Below are 24,899 nucleotides of genomic sequence, written 5' to 3'. Positions count from 1 at the left end.
TAATGACAAAAACTGGGATTGGCAAGGATATGTGCCAATGCTGCCCTGCAGACAGGGCACAAACGAGACACAGGTCTCTTAGTTCTCTGCTGACCATTCTTTCTGCTATAAACACTGACTCAAATATTCCTCTGAAAACAGGTCAGTCTCAAAGACTTATGTGCAAATAAAGTCTGCAACTTACTGTAATGGAAAAGACACTGATTCACACATAACTCAGGGGAGCTAGGTGAATTACTGACCATCAGTGAGACCCGAGGCAATCCCTAACCTCTGTCTAGATCTTGAGAACAAGGGTTTTCAAATTGCGTGCCTGTGGGAACCACTCCTCCTCCTCGTCCAATGTCCCCCACCCTTGCAAAGAGCTTTTAAGAACGGATTCTTGCTTTAACAGGTTTTCAGAATACTACTGTAGACTGTTTTGAGATTATTTATCAAACAGCCAACACCAGCACCTACTGCCCACACTGAAGACATCTGGGCAAAGCATCTCTATGTTATGTTGTAGTCAAGGGATGCCTAATGGAAAACAGTACCAGCTGGCTATGGGTTCCCTCATCTTCAAGAAGAAGGAAACTAAACTGGCTGATTTCAATAGCAAGTACTGAAAATGAGGTAAATGAATAAAGATGTTATTTGCAAAATGTCTGATGTGTCAAAATTCACTATCCATCTGGAGATTGTTTAAATGTGGTCTGCTAGACTGGGGTGAAGAATAGTGCTTCTCGGTTGGCCCCCAAACCATCTGTACCTCGATTACCTGATAAGCTTGTGAGGTTGCAGTCTCCAGGGTTTCTAACCCAAGTCTTAGGGCAGGAACAGAGAAGCTGAAATTTTTTTTTTTTTTTTTTTTGAAACAAAGTTTCCCTCTTGTTACCCAGGCTGGAGTGCAATGGCGCAATCTCGTCTCAGGAGAATATGCATTTTAACACGCTCCCCTGATGATACTTCTGCCCACTAAAGCTGTAAGTCCTAGCAATGCAAGCCTTACTGTTAAACTATTTTTGACTTAAATTGAGTGCCAGTTTCAGAAAATCAGTTATTTCATTTTAAACTTTATTCCCAGTAGGAAATATGAGACATTTACAGATGGTGCCTGACTTACAATGGTTCAGTTTAGGATTTTGCAACTTCAAGATGGTCAAAGGTGATTCCCATTCAGTAGAAACCATACTTCGAGTATCCATAAACCATTCTGTTTTTACGCTTTCAGTACAATATTCAATAAATTACATGGACATTCAACACTTTATTATAAAATTGGCCTAGTGTTTGATGATTTTGCCTAGCTGTAGGCTAATGCACATATTTTGAGCACGTTTTAGGTAGGCTAGGCTAAGCTGTGAGGCCTCAGTAAGCTGGGTGTCTTGAATGCATTTCAACTTATGATATTTTCAACTTACAATGGGTTTATCAGGACAAAGCCCCATTGTACCTCAAGGAGTATCTGTATTGGGAACGCATTAATACACTGTCAGTTTCTTGAGGGACTTCATTCTAATAAACAAGTAAAAAGACATTCAAATTATCAAACTGTCTTTTAATAAGATTTGTAAAACTACCCTATCATAAAATAGTATTAATAATTTAATATAATTAACAATATCCCACTTTTCTTTCACACACCATGACTCCATTTCCTTAGCAAGAGACAAATGCCATAAACAAATAAGCAATTATCAGGCAGAACTATGACAGTGTTTCTGTTGCTAAGCTGAGGCACTTATGGGTAAACGATAATTTCCTGTCCTAATGATTCTCAATTCCCTTCTGCCCAAAACAAACCTGTCACTAATGAAAACCAAAGCTGGCGTAGTCAGAAGTGGCTGAAATGCACCAAAAAAAACACAACAAAACATACTTAAAATCTTGTATTTTGGTTTGGAAATGAAAGAAAAGAATTTCTCAAGACAGTAAATCATTGTAGGAGTCTTTTGTCTCTGCTTTAGCCACCCACTGTTGATGCAAGATAACTCACTTAACCTTTATGAGTTTCACCAGTCACAGCGGCAGCAGTAAAACTCCCCTTTCCTCACTTAAGATTCAATTAAAAAAATGAAAAATTTGAAGTAATAATATTGAGAAACTGACATTCCCCTTTCATTAGTATGAACTGTTTTGTCCAGATGATTTGAACACCAGTCCCATCATAAAGGGGCTGACTGTGCCTGGCTGAACAACATATGAATATCTTTTGCTCTACATATTGCATGAAAAAGCTCAAAATCCAGAAATCTCAACAAGAGTTTTCATTATGACTGCACACAGCAAGTTAGATTGCAGATGAGTGTGTTTATATTTTAGATATACCACCCCAACCCACCAAAAATTCTTTCTTCTAACTTCTTGTTCCTAAAAAGAAAACAAGACCACTTTCTACACTCTTGCCCTACAACTGAGATGTGTCTTCCCACCACCGAATGAGCTGGTTCACAGCATGGAGTCAGTAACAGTGACTGCTATTATCACTACTACCATGAGCATGACACACAGTTGCATCTTGTAAGTTTAGTCTCCAATTAACTGAATTACACACTTCATCTTTTCCGATTACAGCACAGGGGGATTGGCATAGACTTCTTTTTTTCTTTTTTTTTGAGAGGAAGTCTTGCTCTCACCCAGGCTGGACTGCAGTGGCATGATCTCGACTCACTGCAACCTCCGCCTTCCAGGTTTAAGCGATTCTCCTGCCTCAGCCTCCCAAGTAGCTGGGATTACAGGCACGCACCACCATGCCCGACTAATTTTTGTATTTTTAGTAGAGATGGGGTTTCACCATGTTGGCCAGGCTGGTTTTGAACTCCTGACCTCAGGTGATCCGCTGGCCTCGGCCTCCCAAAGTGCTGGAATTACAGGCGTGAGCCACCGCGCCCGGCCGGCTTAGACTTCTGGCAGAGGAAAAATTCAACAACAGAGTACTAGGCTAAGTCAGTTTACCATGAAGGATTTTAAGTATGAAATTCCTACCTATTACATACTCAGTTAAAATATGTTAAGTCAAAGATGATATTTTTTAAATTACACGATTCAAATAAGAAAAATCAAATTATTTCAACAAATGTTTAAAAACTTCTACACTGTTCTAATGTTTGCAGCAGTCTTTAATTTACTTCAAATCTGTATTTTCACTGTGAAAAGAGGAGTAAAGTCATATGGAGCAAAGCAATTTCCAAATGTCTGCTTTTTTAAAAACATGGCTAGGATGTTTAAAGGAAACTTACCTTCAGATAAAACCATACTCTCTATAATATATACAGATAAGTAACTGTTAAGATTAGACACTGATTTTTCTTTTTGTGCAACTGAGACCATCTGGAACTTACCTTCTAATATGAAATAAGCCCAGTATAAACAGGACTTAAAAACAGGTTCTGGCAACATTTTTGATTAGGCTGCCACTTCCTGTGCCCTTGAGCTCAATTTATAAGTCTGTATAATACATACCCTGTGATCATCCGTGTTGACATGGAAGATATTAGAAACCAAAGATGTCTCAGAAACCTGGCATTAAAGGCTAAACTGTAGAGAAGCCTAAAAAGGAATAGGAGAAAAACACAGAACAGTAAAGCAATTACTTATTCAAAACATTTCTTAAAAAAAAAAAAAAAAAAAAAGCGATACACTGAAGATCAACGTACAATTTAGCAAATCTCTGTACTAATACCACAAAAAGCTGCCTCAGACAACCAGCCATTTGATGAGACACCGAGACACGGCTCCCAAAGGTGTAAATCTGTGCTGTTACCAAGCTAGGAAAGCCCGCCCTCCCTCCCCTGTGGCTGTGAGACCTACCCCAAAAGATAAAGATATAAGCTGTTTTCATGCACAAGTTGAACCTGCTCCCCCTCTGCTACATATCGTATTAATATATCACAATATTATAATTACTATTGTTATTACTGCTTATACTTTTCTTTTTATTTTTTTTGAGACAGGGTCTTGCTCTGTTGCCCAGGCTGGAGTGCAGTGCCACGATCTTGGCTCACTGCAACCTCCACCTCCTGGGTTCAAGGGGTTCTCCTGTCTCAGCATCCTGAGTACCTGGGATTACAGGTGCCCGCCACCACGCCTGGCTAATTTTTGTATTTTTAGTAGAGATGAGGTTTCACAACGTTGGCCAGGCTGGTCTTGAACTCCTGACCTCAAGTGATCCACCCGCCTCAGCATCCCAAAGTGCTGGGATTACAGGTGTGTGCCACTGCACCTGGCCTACTTAACACGTTTAAAATTTGTAAAATATTTAGTGACGGACTCAAGTCACTTTTCTTGAAATACAAAAAATGTGCTGTTAACATCTCAAAAATAAATCTAAAAAAATGTATCTTAAAGATTTTTAGGCCAGGCACGGTGGCTCATGCCTGTAATCCCAGCACTTTGGGAGGCCAAAGGAGGCAGATTGCTTCAGCCTAGGAGTTTGAGACCAGCCTGGGCAATGTGGTGAGACCTCATCTCTATGAAAAGTTGGGTGTGGTGGCTGTAGTCCCAGCTACTCATGAGGTTGAGGTAGGAGAATCGATAGAGCCCAGGAGTTCAAGGCTGCAGTGAGCCAAGATTGCACCACTACACTCCAGCCTGTGTGACAAAGTGAGATCCTATCTCAAAACAATAAAAATAAATAAAAATTAAAAACTTTTCCTCTATAATATTAGATTTAAAAAAGATGAACTTTGTGAAGAATGCATGAGCATTTAAATTAGCTCTGTTTTATACTGCATGTTTGTGACAGGATAAACATTCTAGCCACAATTGTGTAATCAGCTAGCATAAATATTTTTTTAAGAGATGAGGTCTTTCAAAATCCAATAAAAAAATCTCATATTTGATTGGTCGAGTAATTTCCTGCACTCAATCCAAAACATCAAATGCATTGTTCCATATTGGCACTTTCTGAGTACACCATAGGAATCATGAAGTACTGATTAAAAATAAACAACAACTAAACTCCATTCTTATTTTAATGTAATGCATTTTGAGATATCCAGATGGCAATAAGGGTACATCACTGAAAAAACAGTAAAAGCATGAAAGAGCATGTGAAATTTCCTAGAATCAGGAAACCTTAAGCTAGAAAGAATCTATTAGATCATTCAGCCCAGCCATCTTTCCAATGTCATGTAGGCTAAAAGCAATGTTTGCATAAGAAAATGAAGGGGCAGTGATACATCTGTTCTAAGGTCCTTCCAGCTCAGAAGTATTATGATTTTATGAAAACATGCATGATGTTTATCAGTCACACGCCATGACAAAGTGGGGGCACACTGCATTCATTCCAGTAAGAGCAGAATCTCAAACGGGGTCTCCAACAAATATTATTTAATATTATTGGAAAATATTACTTAATAATAAATATTTAATAATATTGGAAAAACGAAAAAATGGTAATAATACAAGTTAAAGGAGACCAATTAAGACAGGTAACTAAGTATGCTGTCTGTCATTAATGTTCGAGCAAATTTCCACTTAAAATTCACTCTGAAATATGGCTGGACCTGGTGGATCACGCCTGTAATCCCAGCACTTTGGGAGGCTGAGGCGGGTGGATCACTTGAGGTCAGGAGTTCGAGACCAGACTGGCCAACATGGTGAAACCCCGTCTCTACTAAAAATAGAAAAATTAGCTGGGCGTGGTGGCAGGCGCCTGTAATCCCAGCTATTCAGGAGGCTGAGGCAGGAGAATTGCCTGAACCTGAGAGGCTGAGGTTGCAGTGAGCCGAGATCACACCATTACACTCCAGCCTGGGTGACAGAACAAGACTCAGACTCAAAAAAATAAAATAAAATAAAATAAAAATAAAAAAAATTCACTCTGAAAAAGACTATACTGTTGAAAAGGGAAGCTGTATTAGAAAATGATAATAGATACCCTATCTCTGAGATATTTAAAATCCTTACCATATGCCTGATAAGAGTGTTAACGTTTTTTCTTGCCTTTGTGGAGTTTTATTTGCTAAGAATACGCAACAGTCATACGGAAAAAAGAGTAAGAAAAAAGCTACGAAAAATACGAACTTTCAAAATAATTTGAAAAGGTATTATTTGCTTATTTTCTCTTCAGTTGAGAAATTGAGTTTTTAAAAAATGTTATTAAAACAAAACAAGGCAAAAGAATGTTAGCCACATGGCATCTTATCTACCCAGAAATCATCAGTTAATACCCTGCTATAAATCCATCCAGACCCTTGTGTGTAGACATAGAAACAAAAATGAGTTCTTCCTACAGGTTCTAAGAGTTTGTCACTAAGATTATAATTAACATCTTTCCATGTGAATGTATACATATTTCTGAAATACCATTTTCAGAAATACACATTTAAAATACACATTTTAAAATTTGTATTTCAAGCTAACCCTGACAGAATATTTACTAAATCACTCAATAAGCAATAATAAAACAAACTATTAAACTTTTAAAAATAAATTTCTGGGCCAGGTGCTCACGCCTGTAATCCTAGCACTTTGGGAGGCCAAGGTGGGTAACCACCTGAGGTCAGGGGTTCGAGACCAGCCTGGTCAACATGGTGAAACCCCGTCTCTACTAAAAATACAAAAATTTGCTAGGTGTGGTGGCGCATGCCTGTAATCCCAGCTGCTCAGGAGGCTGAGGCAGGAGAATCGCTTGAACCTTGGAGGTGGAGGTTGCAGTGAGCCGAGATGGCGCCACTGCACTTCAGCCTGGGTGACAGAACAAGACTCCCTGTCGAAAAAAATAAAAAAAAAAAGACAAATACAGCCAGCGGAAGATGGCGGAGGGCGGCGGCCCTGAGCTCGGTGAGCAGGAGAGGAGATCTTCCAGGCTGTGGCCTCCGAGCGCACAGGATTTGCAGAACTTAATGTGAAGAACCTGCAAAGAAACTTGAAAACAGCCAAAGGGATGACATATCAAGAAATAAACTGGCCTTGGAAGAACTGTATGAAGATGAAGTGAAGCGCAAATCTTCCAAGTCTGACAGACCTAAAGCTGCAGTCTTCAAGAGCCCACGGACACCACCTCAATGTCATTTACAGGTGGAGGATACAGATTGGGTAATTCCTTTTGTAAGCGGTCTGAATATATGCATGGAGAAAATCAGCTACAAGATGTTCAGATTTTGCTTAAACTGTGGAGCAATGGTTTCAGTTTAGATGATGGAGAATTGAGACCTTACAATGAACCAACAAATGCTCAATTTCTGGAGTTTGTTAAAAGAGGAGAGATCCCCCTGGAGCTTCAGTGCCTTGTTCATGGTGGCCAAGTGAATTGGGATATGGAGGACCATCAGGATCAAGAATACATAAAACCTAGATTGAGGTTCAAGGCTTTTAGTGGAGAAGGGCAAAAACTTGGAAGGCTTACACCTGAAATAGTCAGTACACCTTCCTCTCCAGAAGAGGAGGATAAATCAATACTTAACGCGGTTGTTCTTATTGATGATTCAGTGCCAACAACAAAAATTCAAATCAGGTTAGCAGATGGGAGTCGTTTGATACAAAGATTCAATAGTACACACAGGATCCTGGATGTCCGGAACTTTATTGTACAGTCTTGTCCTGAATTTGCAGCTCTTGACTTTATTCTTGTGACTTCATTTCCGAATAAAGAGCTAACAGATGAAAGCCTGACACTGCTAGAAGCAGATATTCTTAACACTGTGTTACTCCATCAACTAAAATAATATTGTTCCTATCCATGCAGTACCATGTGGGAACAGATGATGTGTCGTATTAATAAGGACAATACCTCCAGCATTAAAAAAAAAAAAAAACAAATTATTTTTATTATTTTTACAGATAAATTTTGGTTTTATTGTTATTCTGTCTTCCAACCTGAATATAGACAAATCTGGATTAGGAATAGACCTTAAGATAAGTATGTTTGAGTTTTTAGTTGAAGGACTGGCTTATGTTGATAGTTTTTGGATTTGTAGGCAAATCAGTTTGTTACATACTTAGTGTTAATGTTTTGTTTGCAGAAAAAAATGAAAACCCCTTTTTGATAAATGCATTTGGTAAAATTTGCACTAAAGTTTCTTGATGCAGCATTGACTAACAGCCATTAAGAAATCTTTTGATCAAATAAGTTGAAAATTTGTCTGTAGTAAATACTGAAAAGTGTCTAGTTTGATTTTGAAATTGTTTGATCATACAATAATTATTTCTCCTATTAAGATGTTACACATCCTTTTTACTTACTGATTTAGATATATTACTAGTATCAGAAACGACAGTTTTGCCTTGTATTTTGCAGAATTATGACTGCTGTGAACTTAAACAGAAACACATAAAGTTCAGCAATTCTTTTTTTTGAGATGGAGTTTTGCTCTTGTTGCCCAGCCTGGAGTGCAATGGCGCTATCTCCGCTCACCACAACCTCCACCTCCCAGGTTCAAGAGATTCTCCTGCCTCAGCCTCCCGAGTAGCTGGGATTACAGGCATGCACCACCACGCCCAGCTCATTTTTGTATTTTTAGTAGAGACGGGGTTTCTCCTTGTTGGTCAGGCTGGTCTCAAACTCCCGACCTCAGGTGATCCACCCACCTCAGACTCCCAAAGTGCTGGGATTATAGGCGTGAGCCACTGCACCTGGCCTAAAGGTCAGCAATTCTTAAGAAGATATGATAAACAGCAACAGCATTTTAAAATCAAGTAATTACAGTTCCTCCCAGAGCTTGCCTTGATCACATTCATTTATTCATTCAACACATTTTTCTAGGAAACTCACTATATACACTAAACACTCTTCTATGTGCTCAACCTAGAACGTCTTCTCCAGAACAAGACTAGTGTAGAAATACAGGAATGTATATTCTGTCGGACAGACTAGATCTAAAGAACTACCAGCATAAATGTTTGTATTTCTGAAGTCAGAAGGTTTCCCTTCTTCCCAGACACCACTTCATCCTTAGTTATCACTTCTGGTTAGTTTCCCATTGCCACCATAACAAGTTACAAAATGTGGCTTAAAATAGCACAAATTTATTATCTTAACAATTCTATAGGTTAGGAGTCCAAACGGGTTTCGCGGTGCTTTTAACATCAGTTTGTCGGCAGCGTTGCATAGGAGAATTATTTATTTCCTTGTCATTCCACCTTCTAGAGAACATCCGCATTCCTTGGCTTGCGGCCTTCTATCTTAAAAACCAGCACTGTTTCATCTCTATGACCCTTCTGTTACCACATCTCTCTGACACCACCCTGGAGAGGTTCTCTGCAGGACTCATGATTAAATTAGTCCCATTGCATAATCTGGGCTTATCGCCTCGTCTTGAAATCCATAGTAACCTTAATTACATCTGCAAAATCTCTTTTACCATTTAAGGTTACATACAGGTTTGGAGATTAGGACATTAACGTTTTACATGGAACATTATTCTTCTTGCCTACTACAGTGCAACCCCCGCCCCGCCACCACTCCACCCCTGTGTTAAAAGATTCAGATCCATCACAAATAAATTTACGTCACTCATAGGTGCTCAAAAGTCACAACCCATTATTACAGCATCAACTCTAAATCCAAAATCTTATCTGAGTCTCACCAACTCAAAAGTCTCAAATCTCACACTAAAGCCATCTAAATTTGGGAGAGGATCTGGGTGTGATTTCTGGGGCATAATTCTCCTCCATCTGTGCACTTGCGAACCTAGAAAACAAGTTATCTGCTCCCATGTATGATGGTGTGACAGGCATACAGTAACAGCTATACACATTCCTGTTCAAAAAGCAGAAATTGGGATGAAAAAAGGAGCCATCAGCACCATCAATTTACAAAACCAGCCAGGCACCCTCCTTTCAGTTTCAAGGCCTGGGAGTAATCTTCAGCTCACTGCTCAGTTCTCTGGGCTTGTGACTGTCTCAATCATCTTTACTTTTTCACAAAAGGTAGCACATGTTTGCAGCTGAGTATCAGCTTATCAGTTTGTTTCTTCTTTTATATTCTCTAAAGCATTCTGTTAAAAATAGTGGTGTTTCTGCTGCTATAACATTGTCGAGAAACTTGTGGGTCTCTTACATATGTCATGGGGATTCACTCATTTACACAGGAGGCTCCTCACATATCTTTCCTGGAAAATCCCGTCTCTAATTTTGGCTTTTTCTGAAATAGCTGGGAGGATCTATGATTCACACTCTTAATCTCCTCAAAGAGCCTTTTGTGTGACTTGATACTCAGACCTTTTGATGTTTCTGAAGTATTAGCAGAAGGTTATACAGCCATACCTTCATCACTTTCTCTAGAGAAGGCTGTCCTGACAGTGAATCTCTTAGTTTTAGTGGCTTTTGCCTTGAATAGGCCACGAATTTCCCAAATCAAGTCCTAGTTTCTTTATATTCAACAGTTCTTCCCTCAATTTATCTACCTCCTTCCATATTTTACCATAATCAGCAAGAAGACAGCAGGCTGTACCTTCCACAGCTTGCTTGGAAATATCCTCAGCTAATACTGAAGTCATCACTTAAAAATTCTGCTTTACACATAACTGCAGGACACAATTCAGCTTAGCTTTTTGCCACTATGTAACAAGGACCCCTTTTCCTCCAGTTTTCCAATAACATATTCCTCATTTTCTACCAACAGTCTATTCATGATGATTTAGATATTTTACCGCAATCGAGGTATTCTCTGCTATACTCCTTTCTTCCTTCAAGGCCTCCCTAGCATTAACATTCCACATTTCTACTAACAGTCTGTTTAAGGCAATTTGGCTTCTTTCTGGCATGCGCCTCAGAATTCTTCCAGCCTCGACCTACTGCCTAATTCCAGAGCCACTTTTCCATTTTTAGATATTTGTTACAGCAGCATTCTAAGTACCTAGAAAAGTCTTTTATGCCTACTTCTCTGCCAGATGACCTGAATATGCTACTAGATTTGGAATATTCACCTTTCTCCAGGATCACTGCTTATTTCAAAGAGGTGAAATTACCTGTGCTAGGGTTTTCATACCAGGAGTGCTACCAGAACTACCACAGGATGGAAGTGGTGAGCCCACCACTGCAGAGAAGTTTTCTCAGTGCCATAATTTAGAGGAATTCTTCTCAAGACAAGCCCAACTCCTTTTCACTTAACTGAAAACAACCTGTATAATGTATAACAGCCAGCCCCATTTCAAAAAGATTACCAGGGGTAAAACAACTTTTTCATGGGTCAAAATCATCTTCCAAAGAAAATGATTTCTTAAAAGAACTGAACATTGTAAATCAAAGGGCATTGTCCTGTTTTGGATTAACAAAACAGGAAAAAACAACCAAACCTTGTAAAATTATTTGAAATTTTGTTCATATCAGTTCAGTGCCTATAGATGCACATACAAAAACAACTGCCATTTTTGTAAATAATAGTCTTCCAAAATAGAGATTTACGTTAGGAGAGAATTAAACATCCAGGAGGGATGAACAGTATTTCATGTGTGCTATGTAGTGTTTTGCTTCATTGAGAGTCATTTTCATGAATTATTTTTACTACTGCAGTCATCTTAAATTTGTAATCATCTCAAAAAAGATGTCACAATGAACAGACAACCATGTGTGAGGTCAGTCATTTTGCATGATGCATGTAATCAAAAAGTTTCAAATGTCTGCTTACTAATAAAGAATGTTTTCACCAAAAAAAAAAAAAAAAGACAAATTTCTGAAGGTTATTTAGTCTGGGGCTCTACTTCTAAAATGTAAAGAAGTGATATTCTTCTCCCACATAGTGGGATAGATTAAAAATTACTCATTAAGCTTTATTTAGCTGTAACAATCCTATGAGTTAATCAGTAAGCCGGGTCATAAATTCAGGCCAGTTTTCCACGGGGACTCTCTTGAGTTATGAAAGAGAACACAATGGAAGACACTGGCTCCCACACAAGGAGTCAAGGCCACCACAGCATGGCATCCTCTGAGAATTCCCCTCTAAGTCCAGGTGCCACAGGTAAAAGAAACAGCGAGACACCCAATGATCTGTCGAACTCTTATAGCACACAAGTACAAAGGCAATAATTTGTTCTTCTGAAATTTTTCTTTTTAAAAAAATATTACTGGACACTTCTAATGCCATAAAAAGCAATAAAACAGATATATAATAATTTGCATCAGATAATGCAAGATTCAAAATAAATTCCAATGTCCTTACTAATAAAAATTTTAAGGTGTATTTCGTCTGGAGACAAGCTGCTAAAAATTGCTCTTCACAAACTAGGAGCTAAGAGTAGGAGGTAAGCCTTAGACACTCAGGCGCGCTAGCATTCCAGCATTGACACCAGAACCAATTTAAACAGCCAGCCCTTCTTACTGGCAACTGATTTTCTTTAATTAAAAGATTTACAGATTCAAAAAACATACTTTCCCTCATGCTACAGTTTAAATTAAAATGGGGGAAAGTGGCATTCACTACCTCAAATGTCTTCTTTGATAATCCCTTCTTTTTTTTTTTTTTAAGTTCATGTCTTTTATTAACTCATACGCAGTTACTTGTCTTCTGGTTTGTTGAAGCAGTAGTCAGACAACATTTGCCACAATAATGTCTGTCAAAGTGACTTGCCATAAACACTCCAGCACCACATTCATCAGAAGGGCACTCTCGACGAAGGCAGCTCATTTTGTCATTCTCATCCACCTTCTAATACTTCAGGACAGCCAGCTTCCCCTTCTTTCTCTTGCGCTTATTCTTCTTGGGAGTGGGGTAAGACTCCTTCCTTTTCTTAGCACCACCACGAAGTCTCAACACAAGATGAAGAGTAAGCTCCTTTTGAATGTTGTAGTCAGACAGTACATCCATCTTCCAGTTGCTTGCCAGCAAAGATCAGTCTTTGCTGATCAGGAGGAATTCCTTCCTTATCCTGGATCTTGGCCTTTACATTTTCTATCATATCCAAGGGTTCAACCTTGAGGGTGATGGTCTTCCCCGTAAGGGTTTTTATGGAAATCTGCATTTTGGTGGCGGCTCCACCGCAGATGGCGGATCGAAAAGGAAGCCCCTTCTCTTACTATTTCTTAACAAGCTTAAAAGAAAACTTTAAAAACGTGGTAGGGATTTAGAATCACTTTGGTGGAATATGCTTCTTCCAAGTGTACTCATATTTCCCGGGAAACAATTATCATTCACAAATGTTCTAAGAATTCTTAGAAGATTCAGAACTATGAATGATATTGCTGAAGCTGACGAAGGCAAGTCTATTTTATTTATTTGATGTGTCTAACAACAGCTAGTGGAAATTAGTTTATAATCTAGATAGGATTTCAAAATACATTTAATTTTAAGATCACTATGTGCTGAAATGTTTAAAAGCTCATCAATGTTATTTGAACTTCATGAAAGAGAATGCAATTTTTAACATGAATCAATAGCTTATTAATTCTATTGATTATAATGAAAATATCACTGATAATAAAAGCAGCTATGAAATTATAGACAAAATTTACTTCTCTCTCCAGGCACATCCTCAATATTTTTTCCAAAATATTATAAAAACTTGTTTACAAACACATGGACGGTATATATATTTAATTCTACACATACAATGAAAAACAAATCTGTATTTTTCTGCTTTGAAGTCATCTGTGTAATCATTTTATCCCAAATTATTAAAGTATAAGATATGAAGCTATAAATCTCTCAGAGCTAAAGAGCATTCATCCCCACCACATACACCACAGTTCTTAGAAAACACATGGCAAAGAAATGGTTAGAAAACACACGAGGGGCTGGGCGCAGTGACTTGCACCTGCAATCCCAGCACTCTGGGAGGCTGAGGGCTGAGACAAGCAGATTACTTGGGCCCAGGTGTTCGAGACCAGCCTAGGCAACATGGCAAAACCCCGTTTCTACAAAAATTACAAAAAATTAGCCAGGTGTGGTGGCACGCCTATCGTCCCAGCTACTCAAGGGTGCTGAGGTAGGAGGATCACCTGAGCCTGGGAGGCGGGGTTTCAGTGAGCTGAGATCACGCCACGGCACTCCAGCCTGGGTGACAAAGTGAGACCTTGTTTCAGAAAACAAAAACAAAAATAAAGACAAAACCAACAAACACTACACACACACATACACACGCGCGTGCACAGAAAAGAAGCACTGCGCTTCGAGGCGCACCGCTGTTTATCTAAATCACAATGATTAACAACACAAGACATAATTAAGCTGCTTCACTGTACTACTTTTTGGTGGAAAAATCAAGCATATGTTGAAATAAAACTAGGTGTCTTATGATTTATGTATTTAAATGAAACTACGGGCAAATTATAACATCAACCTCTTCGACCCCTAAAACACTATCTTCAAAATTCTGCTTCAAAACTTTTAGATCCATCAATGGGGTAAAAGAGCCAAGCCCCTGAGAACATGCCAGCCCAGACATTAACTGGAAGAGACTGGCATACGCAAAAGGAAAGGGGCACGAAACACCATGGAGGCATAAAAAAGCGCAATGGGATCAAGAAAATGCAAGATATGCCTTTTTGCCTCATTTATGGTTGGAGAAAAAGTATTTTGTGCTAGAAATAAAGTTGAGAGGTAAACAAATGCTTGATAACAAGGGGATACTGCACAAATCAATAATCCAAGGAATGTGAATTTTTTCCTAAAAGCAAAGGGAGTCTACACTGTTCAAGAGAATGCAATAATCAGGGTTGTATTTTCCACAAGTCAGGCTGGCAAACCATGACATAGAGAATACAGCTCTCGAGCACCATGGTGGGAATACTGAGCCAAAACCCTGGGCAGCACCGCCCACCAGCACCTTCCGTGAGGGTGGGTGTGTTCTAATCTGTGATGTCCAATAAGGTAGCCCCTGGCCACATGTGGCTACTGGGCACTTGAAATGTGGCTTTGGTAGCCGAGGACCTGAGTCTGTGCTTGTATTTAATTTACTTTAAAACACACGTCACTGGTGGCTACCATGCAGGACACTGCAGTTTCAGGCTGCAGGTACAGACAACCAAGTAGATGACGGGCCTGTTCACCAAAACAGGGACAGAAAGAGGAGGCTCTTAAGAGGGAGAGATGCTGGACTCAACTTCAGACCCTGGGAGGGGACAGAGGAGAGGTCCCCAGGGACATCTCCTATTAAGCAGGTACACTTGTGTCTGGAGCTCCAGAAAGTTACTTAAACTAAAGACACAAATGTGAGAGTCACTAGAATGTAGCTGAAGCCACTTGTATGAAAGAGATTACCCAGAGGACCAAATAAAGAACTAAAAAACTAAGCAGGGCGCAGTGGCTCACGCCTGTAATCCCAGCACTTTGGAAAGCTGAGGCGGGAGATCACCTGAGGTCAGGAGTTCGAGACCAGCCTGGCCTACATGGTGAAACCCCATCTCTACTAAAAATACAAAAATTAGCTGGGCATGGTGATGGGTGCCCGTAATCTCAGCTACTCGGGAGGCTGAAGTAGGAGGATCGCTTGAACCCTGGAGGTGGAGGTTGCAGTGAGCCGAGTTCACACCACTGCACTCCAGCCTGGGCGACAAGGCAAGAGACTCCGTCACAAACTAACAACCCTAAAAAACTGAATACAAAAAGAAGTTTAGGAAAGAGTGAGAAAGAGGAGAAAAAAGAACCCACAAAGGAAACTGAGAAGCCCAAGTAAAGGAAAAATCACATGAATATGGTATCTATGAAAGAAGCCGCTGAAAGAGTCAGGAAAAGGAAGGACGAGGAATGTGAAATACACACAAAGGCCAGGAATGCCGCGGGGCTGAGTGGGCACCGCAGGCCTCATCTACATGTAAGTAGGGTCACAAATGCAGTCAATGAAACTCTGAAACAGTACCCACTAAAAACCCCACGTATGCCAGATGAAAGCCAAGCACTTTTCTAACAGGCTATCTTTGGTAGCCTACTTTCTTATTTTAGTTGTCTGATACTGCAGTAGAGCCTTTATTTTTTGCCCCCTTAAAATATAGCCAGTGAATATTTAATCATATTTTAAAATAGTGGATATTAAAAATGTTAAATCCAAATTTCCACGTCCAATGGTAATATATCTAAAATTTCCTCTCAGAAAAGGAGCTGGCAATTCATTTATTACTTAACCAATTTTAAAATATTAAGTCATTCACCTAATCCAAAACTTAAAAGTGATATAAAAATAGTGTACTCAGAAGAGCACTTCTGCTCCAGCCCCAGCTTCCTCGGCATATTCAGACACGAGTGTTCACTTTCATGAGTTTCTTGTATATGCTTCCAAGTTTCTTTATGCAATATGAATATATATTCCTATTTTTTCCATCCTTCTTATAGGAAAAGCCGGTTCTTCTACATACTGTCCTGTGTCTTCCCGGTTTTCATGTACGCATCTGTCTCGGAAATCTTTCCATGTCAGGGTACAAAGGTCTCCACATTCATTTGTACACCCTGACAATCAGTGTTAAACAGAAATTAAATGGCAAATCCTAACTCTGAAAATAAAAGGGACTAATATTAATCAGTGAGGGCCTGTGAATGAGTTATCAGCCTGGGAATATACTAATCATCTTTCAAATACTTTTTTAAAAAAATCAAAATTGAAAGCAGTTAAAATCTGTAACAGTTAGAGTAAGCCTACTTGCTCTTTCTAAATACTAGAACCTAATATGTTTAAGCCATAAATAAAATTCCTAGAGTAGTTTCTTAGAGGAAATAGGTGCTGTACTCATAAAATCAAGCCTACACAGAAAGTTCCTTCACCCATTAAACACCTTTTGGAAGCGGTTCTCTAGTAAACCTCAGCCCAGGGCAGTGATGCATTGAAATCCAGCAATTACCATCCACAGCAATGGGTTGTGCGACAATAAAAGCAAGTGTCCTGGTTCAGCTGCTGCGATCCTCAGATCTCACATCCTGCTCTCATGCAATTAGCCGGCAAAGAGCTAAGGACCTAATCTAGGAGCCACAGTTTCACTGACATCTACTTCCTCCGATGGTAATAAACACCAGTGAGTGAAGACAGCACCTCATTAGTTGGCCACATTAGTGTTTACAAGGCCATTTCAACCGATGGGTTCCTTACTTACAGTTCATTTCAAAGAATGCTTTCTTAGCCAACAGAAATCACTCTTTTCATATGATGGGATGGCATTTTATAAAAACAAAGAGAATTCTGTAGGGTAACGTGAATTAACGTCAGACCTGCTTACTTACTGACAGCTTTTGCCTATGCAACATCAGTCCCTTGGGTCCTAGCAGAACTACTACATATATTTTACTCTGTATCCAATTGAATACTTTTCTGTTAAATTCTCAAGAAACCACTAACATATCACTCAAATTGGAGGGAGAGAAAACAGTTCAAGATTATTGTCACAATTATTTAAGCACAAACAGGCCATATTTTTAACTTGCAGGTTTTGTTTTGTCTGAACCAAAAGTTTATTTCAAAGGCTGAAAAACAAAAATTTACTTTTAGGGATAAATTGTCAAGGACAATCTAATTAAAAGGGTACTATGAAGGCTGGGTGTGGTGGCTCATGTCTGTAATCCCAGCACTTTGGGAGGCCGAGGCAGGCGGATCACAAGGTCAGGAGATCAAGACCATCCTGGCTAACATGGTGAAACCCCGTCTTTACTAAAAATACAAAAAATTAGCCGGGCGAGGTGGCGGGCGCCTGTAGTCCCAGCTACTCGGGAGGCTGAGGCAGGAGAATGGCATGAACCCAGGGGGGCAGAGCCTACAGTGAGCCGAGATCGCGCCACTGCACTCCAGCCTGGGCAACAGCAAGACTCCATCTCAAAAAAAAAAACAAAAAACAAACACACACACACACAAAAACAAAAAATTAGCCAGGTGTGGTGGTGCACACCTGTGGTCCCAGCTACTCAGAAGGTTGGGGTGAAAGGATCGCTTGAGCCCAGGAAGTGAAGGCTGCAGTGAGCTATGATCACACCACTGCACTCTGGGCAACAGAGTGAGATGCTGTCTGAAGAAGAAGAAGAAAAAAAAAAACCCCATAAAACACGAGTACTATGAAAAAAGCCTAAAAAGATATGTAACATAGTGTTTCACTAATGCAGGTATGAGTCCAGCCTTTCAGATGGGTGAATAAACTCACATTCATAAGGTACTACAGAAAATATTACAGATAGGGTACTTGAGAGCCTCACGGGCCAGGAAAAGGTCTCAGTATTTGTTGGTTTAGAAAAGAAAAACACAAATTATTTTTTATGAAACGCTTGGACAGTAGAATATCCTACATCAATCTCTACCAGAAAAGAGCAGACAAAACTTAAGAGGAGAGCAATTCCCAGGGAGGAAGGTATGTTCTCTGGCTGGCACCCCCTGGCACAGACGCCCACGGACACTTGCCTGACTTTGGGTACCATCATGCGGTGCTGCACCATCAGCGTGTGGCAGACGGAGGCCATGGTGGTGAAGACCTCCTCGCTCGCAGAGTCCCTCCACACCAGGTTGAGCAGGGTGTTGGTCTGCTGCTTTGTGTCCAGCTTCTTCAGGCATTCCTCTGTTATGTATGATACTGACAGTCTGCCATCCTCCTAGAACATACCAGAACAACCAGTCTCCATAAATGTGCTCAACTGGAACGTCCTCTACACTACAAACATATACGAAATCACATTTTTCTTCGGGCAAAGAAAGCTAGGCATCATCTCAAAATTATCTACATCACAGTACACTTAGTGTGAAATCCTCTAGGGATCCAGTCAACAGTAGGCATCCATTTTGCCTAACACAGTAAACTCTGAATACCCGGTTTTTGCCTATGATATAACAGTAGCTTCAGTATTTACATTTCAAAAAAACTTCATTTCCTACTTTTTTTTTTTACATCAAGCTGCACTAAGACAACCATACATAGTGAAACTATCATCATCTAATGGCATTTTCATTTTAATTTGAGATCACAGTTTAAGCAAAATAAGTGAGAGTATTACATAAATTTTTTTTTTTTTTGAGACAGTCTTGCTCTGTCACCCAGACTGGACTGAGTGGCACAATCTCGGCTCACTGCAACCTCCGCCTCCCAGGTTCAAGCAATTCTCCCACCTCAGCTTCCCAAGTAGCTGGGACTTGCCCGCCTCCACACCCAGCTAATTTTTGTATTTTTAGTAGAGACAGGGTTTCACCATGTTGGTCAGGCTGGTCTCGAACTCCTAACCTCAAATGATCCAGCTGCCTCAGCCTTCCCAAGTGCTGAGATTACAGGTATGAGCCACTGCTCCCAGCCTATTAACGAATTTTTTAAAATCAAAGGCTACACAAATCTATTTTATACCTTAATCTCTCCAGAAGATTTGATTCACTGAATATAACCCAAGCCAATCTATGCAATTTACTCATTTGGGGCAGTAACCAAAGATATATACTTTTTTCATATGTATGTGTATATATGAATATATATATATGAATGTGAATATATATAACATTGGGTATTGCTGACTGTATTGTCTGGAAACTTGGATGAATACAATTTATATAATTTATAATAACTTACCAAACAAAACACTGTTTTATAGATAAAAGCAGTAAATTCATCTGTCAAACCTGAATCTTTAACATTAAGACTAACAAAAGTACATCAGAATGAGAAAGGAATCCTAGCACTACTATTTTTGTAGTGTACAATTTTAAAATAAATTGTACATAAGCTGTAAGTGAACAGATTATACAGAAACCTAAAGGCAAAAGAGCTTATCAAGGGTGAACTTTGACCTTGGAAAAATCTCATACAATCACATTAGGTTTTATATAATTAAGTGCCAGGGGAAAGAAAAGGCAACACAGAAACATACAGGTAAGAGACATGGCAAAGAAAGAATGACTTGCAGTGAAACCTATGAGTGCCTGGCTCAAAATGGGGTCTTTAGTTCTCAGCCCAAATGTGGACAATACCCAAGACAAAGGAAGAATGAAGAGAATAAACAAAAAAAGGAAAATTAAAGTATAAAGTTAAATAATACACAGACCTTGAAACCCTTATGTATTAAAAAAGAATATAGAGTAATATTTTCTATGGTTGTAAATAATTTTAAAAATCAAGAAACTGATCCCACTTCTTAAATGTTCAAAGTGTGAGCACGAGTGAGAGCCTGCAGGTGATTTCCCGGTTCACGGGTCCGCATGTTCTGCTTTCATCGTGTTTGCACACCCACAGCGAGGAAAAACCTGTCCTCTCTCTCGCTGAGAAAGCCCACAGCCTCATCTTCACATGAATACAAAATACACTGCATATAAATAAGGGTTTAATTTCACAAATTCTATGGGAGGTGACTATTTAATAACTTTCTTCCAAAAACAAAAATTTATCTACATTCCATCTACAGAACCCACTCTTTTTTATAAACATACAAAAAAATGAATACTTGTTGGTGTACAGTTTGGACAGATGCAACAGTTCCAGCATCCACTGTCCACTATAAAAACGGCTTCACTCCTTTGTCATCAGCCCACCCCTCAGCCATGAGCCCTGGCAGTGAATATCTTCTGTTCCTTTCTTTGTCTTCTCTTATTTTTTAAAAAAAATCAAGCCCTGAGCTGACTTATCGATCCTTTTCTTATTGCTGTGATCTCTTTCATTCGATACTAGTGAAGCTCTTTGTCCAGGAAGGTGCAGCACTGCACTGACACACCCACTTCACAATATTCTAAAAATTTACTTCACCTGGAAGCCCTGAGACCCTCTCAAGTATATTCTGTGATTACACTTAGTAGTAATCAATATAAAACTCCTTAATGAAAAAATAACAACTTATGATAGCCATACCTCAAGCCATTTCAATTGCTTAAGACCAAAAAAAGTCATTGGCGGTTAAATTCTTTAAGTAAAACACAAATTATGTATGCATGTATATATAATTTTAAAGTTTTTTATTCCCTGAAAATATACTGTAAACTCAATAGTAAGGAAGAAAAGAGATAAGAACTTGAAAGTAATTTTTAAGTAAATAACATTTATCCTCTATAAAATCAGCAGGAATTAATGGAAGACACTACCCGGTGTTCACAGGATAGGGTAAAAAGGATCTTTTTGACCCAACAATTTCACTTCCAGAAAATATTTCCTAATAACTAAGTTAACATATAGTATGATCCTATTTTGCCTAAAAAACCAAACACAAAGCTATGTGTCTCCATTTACACTTCCATGAACGTGCTAACAAAGCGGTGGGAGAGACTTTCCCATCACTAGAAACTGTGGTAGTGGGGCTGACGGGGCTTCTCTGCAAAGGCTGCTTGAGGGTCTGACTTGTGTAACTGAAACTACGGGTGGACAGAAAGCTAGAAGATCCGACGGGGCTGCCTGCATCGCAGCCCCCCAGATGCAGGGCACGGGGCTTACCGGGCTTGAGGGCTTGTCGGCTTCTTCACTCTCCTCCTCAGAGTCACTGGCTGAGTCGTGACAGCTCGCGCTGGCAGGAGAGACTGGTAACTGAGAGAGGAAGGTCTGCAGCACCCGCAAATACACCAGCAGCCCTTCCTCAGAGAGGGCCCCTTTGCAAAACAATCAGTTAAAACGTATTTTAGTTAAACATTATTTTTTAAAATGGAAAACGAAGACGCCATTTTTCCTCACACGCAGAGAGGCATTTCTGACCAGATCTTATTTTTAAAATTCTAACTGTGTTATAATAGGAAACATATTTAGATTTTGTCCCCGTTCATGTCAGAAAGCACCTACAACTCTTGTAATTTCTTGAAAGATAAAGAGTCTCTTGTTATTCATAGCCAGCCCTTTGTGATCATACTTGAGGTGACTTATGGTGAGGCCATCTAGGGGACTCAGAATGGGGCTTTTCACCAGAAAAACCAAGTGATCAGAGGGTTGGAACTTTCAGCCCCACGCACCAACTTCCAAGGGGCTGTCTGTGGGAGGGACACTGGAGAAGAAGCACCATAAAACTCAACAGGAAGACACAATGAGCTCAACACAGGGAGGTGCCGAGAGTGTGGAGTGCCTGGAGAAGGCATGGAAGCTCCCCATTCCCGCACACCTCGACTTCCCGAGTTCTGTGAACTGTCTTAGTCAATTACCAATCCCAAGGAGGGGCTGAGGAACCCCCATTTTTGCAGGTTGGTCAGAAGTATAGGTGACAACCTACTACTTGTAATCGGCCTCTGAAGTGGGTGTAGTCTTGCAGGACTAAGCCCTCAGATGATGGGATCTGACATTATCTCCGGGTGGACGGCATCAGAATTGAACTGAATTGTAGAATACCTAGTTGGTGTCCACTGAAGAATTGCTTGGTGTGTGGGAAAAAAAACCCCACATTTCTGCTCACAGAATTTTTCAGTGTTGAGTGAGAGAGTAAGAAAAACAGTTTGGGCTGGGCACAGGGGCTCAAGCCTGTAATCCCAGCACTGTGGGAAGCCGAGGCGGGTGGATCACGAGGTCAAGAGATTGAGACCATCCTGGCCAACATAGTGAAACCCCGTCTCTACTAAAAATACAAAAATTAGCTGGGTGTGGTGGCGTGCACCTGTAGTCCCAGCTACTCAGGAGGCTGAGGCAGGAGAATCACTTGAACCCGGGAGGCGGAGGTTGCAGTGAGCTGAGATGGAGCCACTGCACTCCAGCCTAGTGACAGAGCGAGACTCTATATACCCCCCCGCACCCAACCCCCAAAAGTTTGGTTTTCACATTTTCCTATATTTCTTTCATGAATAATTCATGCATGTATGTATGTATGTATGTTTTCAAACATACTACAGGAAGATGTTATTCTAGAAGAGGCACACTGGAAATTTAGCAGAGGGAGGGAAACAGGCCTGACTCACAGAAGAGCTTTCCCATTTAACTCTGTTAACTCTATTAAAATAATCTGTGTGGCCTCATAAGACACATATATATGTCAGTCTTTTCCACTGTATCTGGAAACTGTCCCCAGGAACACACTGCCCAGACCACATCCCTCCAGCAAATACACTCCTCCAGGAGAGGCCCACCTTTCCATAACACCTGCCACTGCATGGCCTTCTCTTGACTCATCTGCCAATGCTACCCATATGTGTGTTCAGGTAAAAAAGATCTTGTATTTCATACCCAAATAATTTTCGCCAACAGTTAAAACGAAATAGAAAAGCCAGGGTGCTCCACCACTCTTTCTTGAACATCTACTCTCTATTAACAACAGTGCATTCAGAAAGGGCTCGTAAGGGAAAACGGTCTGCGCATCTGCAAGCGCCGGAATGATGAAATGAAAAATCTGATCTGTAAAAGGTGCTGCCAGAAACTCCTCTGTGAAGGCTGTAAAAACTTGTTGCCTGAAAAAGAAAAACAGAAGCTTTTTATAAAATCAAATTATACTGTCCATCCAATCACTGATTAAAATCACCTTTCAAAATATCCTTCTAAAAGGATAATCTACTCTTCTAAATTAGCCAAGTTAACCATTTTAATATCAACTAGATCAACCTAAAGTAAACTTAATGTCTTCTCTATTAAGATAACTACCATGTTTTCGTTAATTTTTGACAGTTACTTAGAAAAGCAGGAAAATAACCATGTTATCAGAATCACAAATTTGTATTAGGCTACAGGCCAGAAAGAAAAAGTACACTTTCCTATAAACTAAATCAACACTAATAAAGTAAAAACCTGAATTTCAAGTCTATATTTAAAATCACATCCTATGTAAAAGTTACCATCAGATATAGATCTTGTGAAAGGACAAAATCAATAAATCCATTCCAGTCTCACCTCGCACCTTCCGGACAGGAGTTGTAAGTAAAGTGCAATGGTTTTAGAACATTCTCTAGCAAAATTTTTGCTATAGGAACTCGAGATAAATCAGAATATTCAATACTTGATGGAAGCTTGCTGTTAATCAACAAATATAGAGACCTATAATACCCTAAAAGGAAAAACACATATTTAAAATTTAGTGCCTTTTCCTGTAATAAGGGAAAAAACTTGCCAATTTTTAAATGCTTTTAACCATCTCTACAGGTCCAAACTTAAGTTAGTTCTTTAACATGCTAGCAAGGAAAACTAAACAAATATATAGGCAGCCGAACGGTATACAAACCTCATGTACCAACAACTGTCAACTACAGCCAATCTCATTTCACCTGTATACCACTCATTTGGAAGGAAGTCTAAGATATAATTATTTTAGTGTATCATTAAGAGACTATTTTTAAAAACATTATCACAGCTAAAATAAATGAAGAGTAGTTCCTTAACATCACAAATATCTAGTCAGTATTCAAGTCTCCAACTGTCTCATGTTAGAAATTCTATTTAACTAGTTTGCTTGCATCAGGAAGGAGCTCAATAAGGACCACATATTGTGATCTTATAATTTGTCTCTGATTTGTGCATTTTTTAAACACCGTGTTGAATTCATAGAGTTGAACATATTGGTAGGTTTCATTCCACTGTAGTCCTGACCTCATGCTGCTCCACCTGGGGCCCCGGGGTGGGCTTTAGGAGGCTCCTGAGCCCCAGGGTCACTGGCAGTCCTGCATCCCGCCCTACAATCAGCCTTTTCTCCAGAAACTCTTAAGCTCCTTTTAGAGGAGATGATGTATTTGGAGACCACAATCTGGGAACTGAAGAAGTTAACTGTTTAAAGGCAGCTTATACGTAAACTGAAACAACTTTCAGAACCTCTTAAAATATCCAGCCTACGCTTCTGATAGGAACTCTGGGTGGGAGGCAGTGAACATAACTCTGGGTATCAAGAATGATCCAAATCATATATTCTTTCAGAATCATTTACTCCATTTTTATAGAATAAGAAGGTTCAGGTGCAATTTTTGAGTATCTCATCATATACAAGCGTATTTGGTAGCACATTAAAAACAATCCATCTGCATGGGCTAGTTTTTGAAACAGTCCTACACAGCTTCGTATTTGAGTGAAGATCACCAAACAATGCATACTCAGTACTTTATCATTAGACCTACTTTGTAACTACCCCAAGTCTAACCTAGTGTATACTGATAACTAGTGAAACTCATATGAAAGCTTGAAAGCTCTTTTGCTATGAAACTAAAAAGATAAAAATACATCAA

General features: G+C 39.6%; 1 protein-coding gene and 2 pseudogenes across 4 annotated transcripts in view; 1 reads left to right on the top strand and 2 right to left on the bottom strand.

Annotated features, from left to right (window-relative positions):
• The window catches only part of UBE3C (ubiquitin protein ligase E3C), a 130,445-nt gene that overhangs the window by 64,119 nt on the left and 41,427 nt on the right, over positions 1–24,899 (bottom strand). For all 4 annotated transcript variants that reach the window (NM_014671.3, XM_005249564.5, XM_047421073.1 and 1 more), the window contains 5 exons: positions 23,581–23,734; positions 22,924–23,144; positions 21,223–21,374; positions 18,231–18,418; positions 3,445–3,531 (listed from right to left, as the gene is read on the bottom strand). In NM_014671.3, the coding sequence (NP_055486.2) occupies positions 3,445–3,531; positions 18,231–18,418; positions 21,223–21,374; positions 22,924–23,144; positions 23,581–23,734 (802 nt within the window). The remainder of the gene's footprint in view (positions 1–3,444; positions 3,532–18,230; positions 18,419–21,222; positions 21,375–22,923; positions 23,145–23,580; positions 23,735–24,899) is intronic.
• On the top strand, positions 6,729–11,578 carry LOC777650 (UBX domain protein 2B pseudogene; annotated as a pseudogene).
• On the bottom strand, positions 12,390–12,926 carry RPS27AP12 (RPS27A pseudogene 12; annotated as a pseudogene).

The sequence above is a fragment of the Homo sapiens genome, chromosome 7 (genome assembly GCF_000001405.40).
Source record: "Homo sapiens chromosome 7, GRCh38.p14 Primary Assembly".
Classification (NCBI taxonomy): domain Eukaryota; kingdom Metazoa; phylum Chordata; class Mammalia; order Primates; family Hominidae; genus Homo; species Homo sapiens.
Note: the sequence above shows the minus strand (reverse complement) of the source record. Positions and strands in the feature narration are given on the sequence as shown.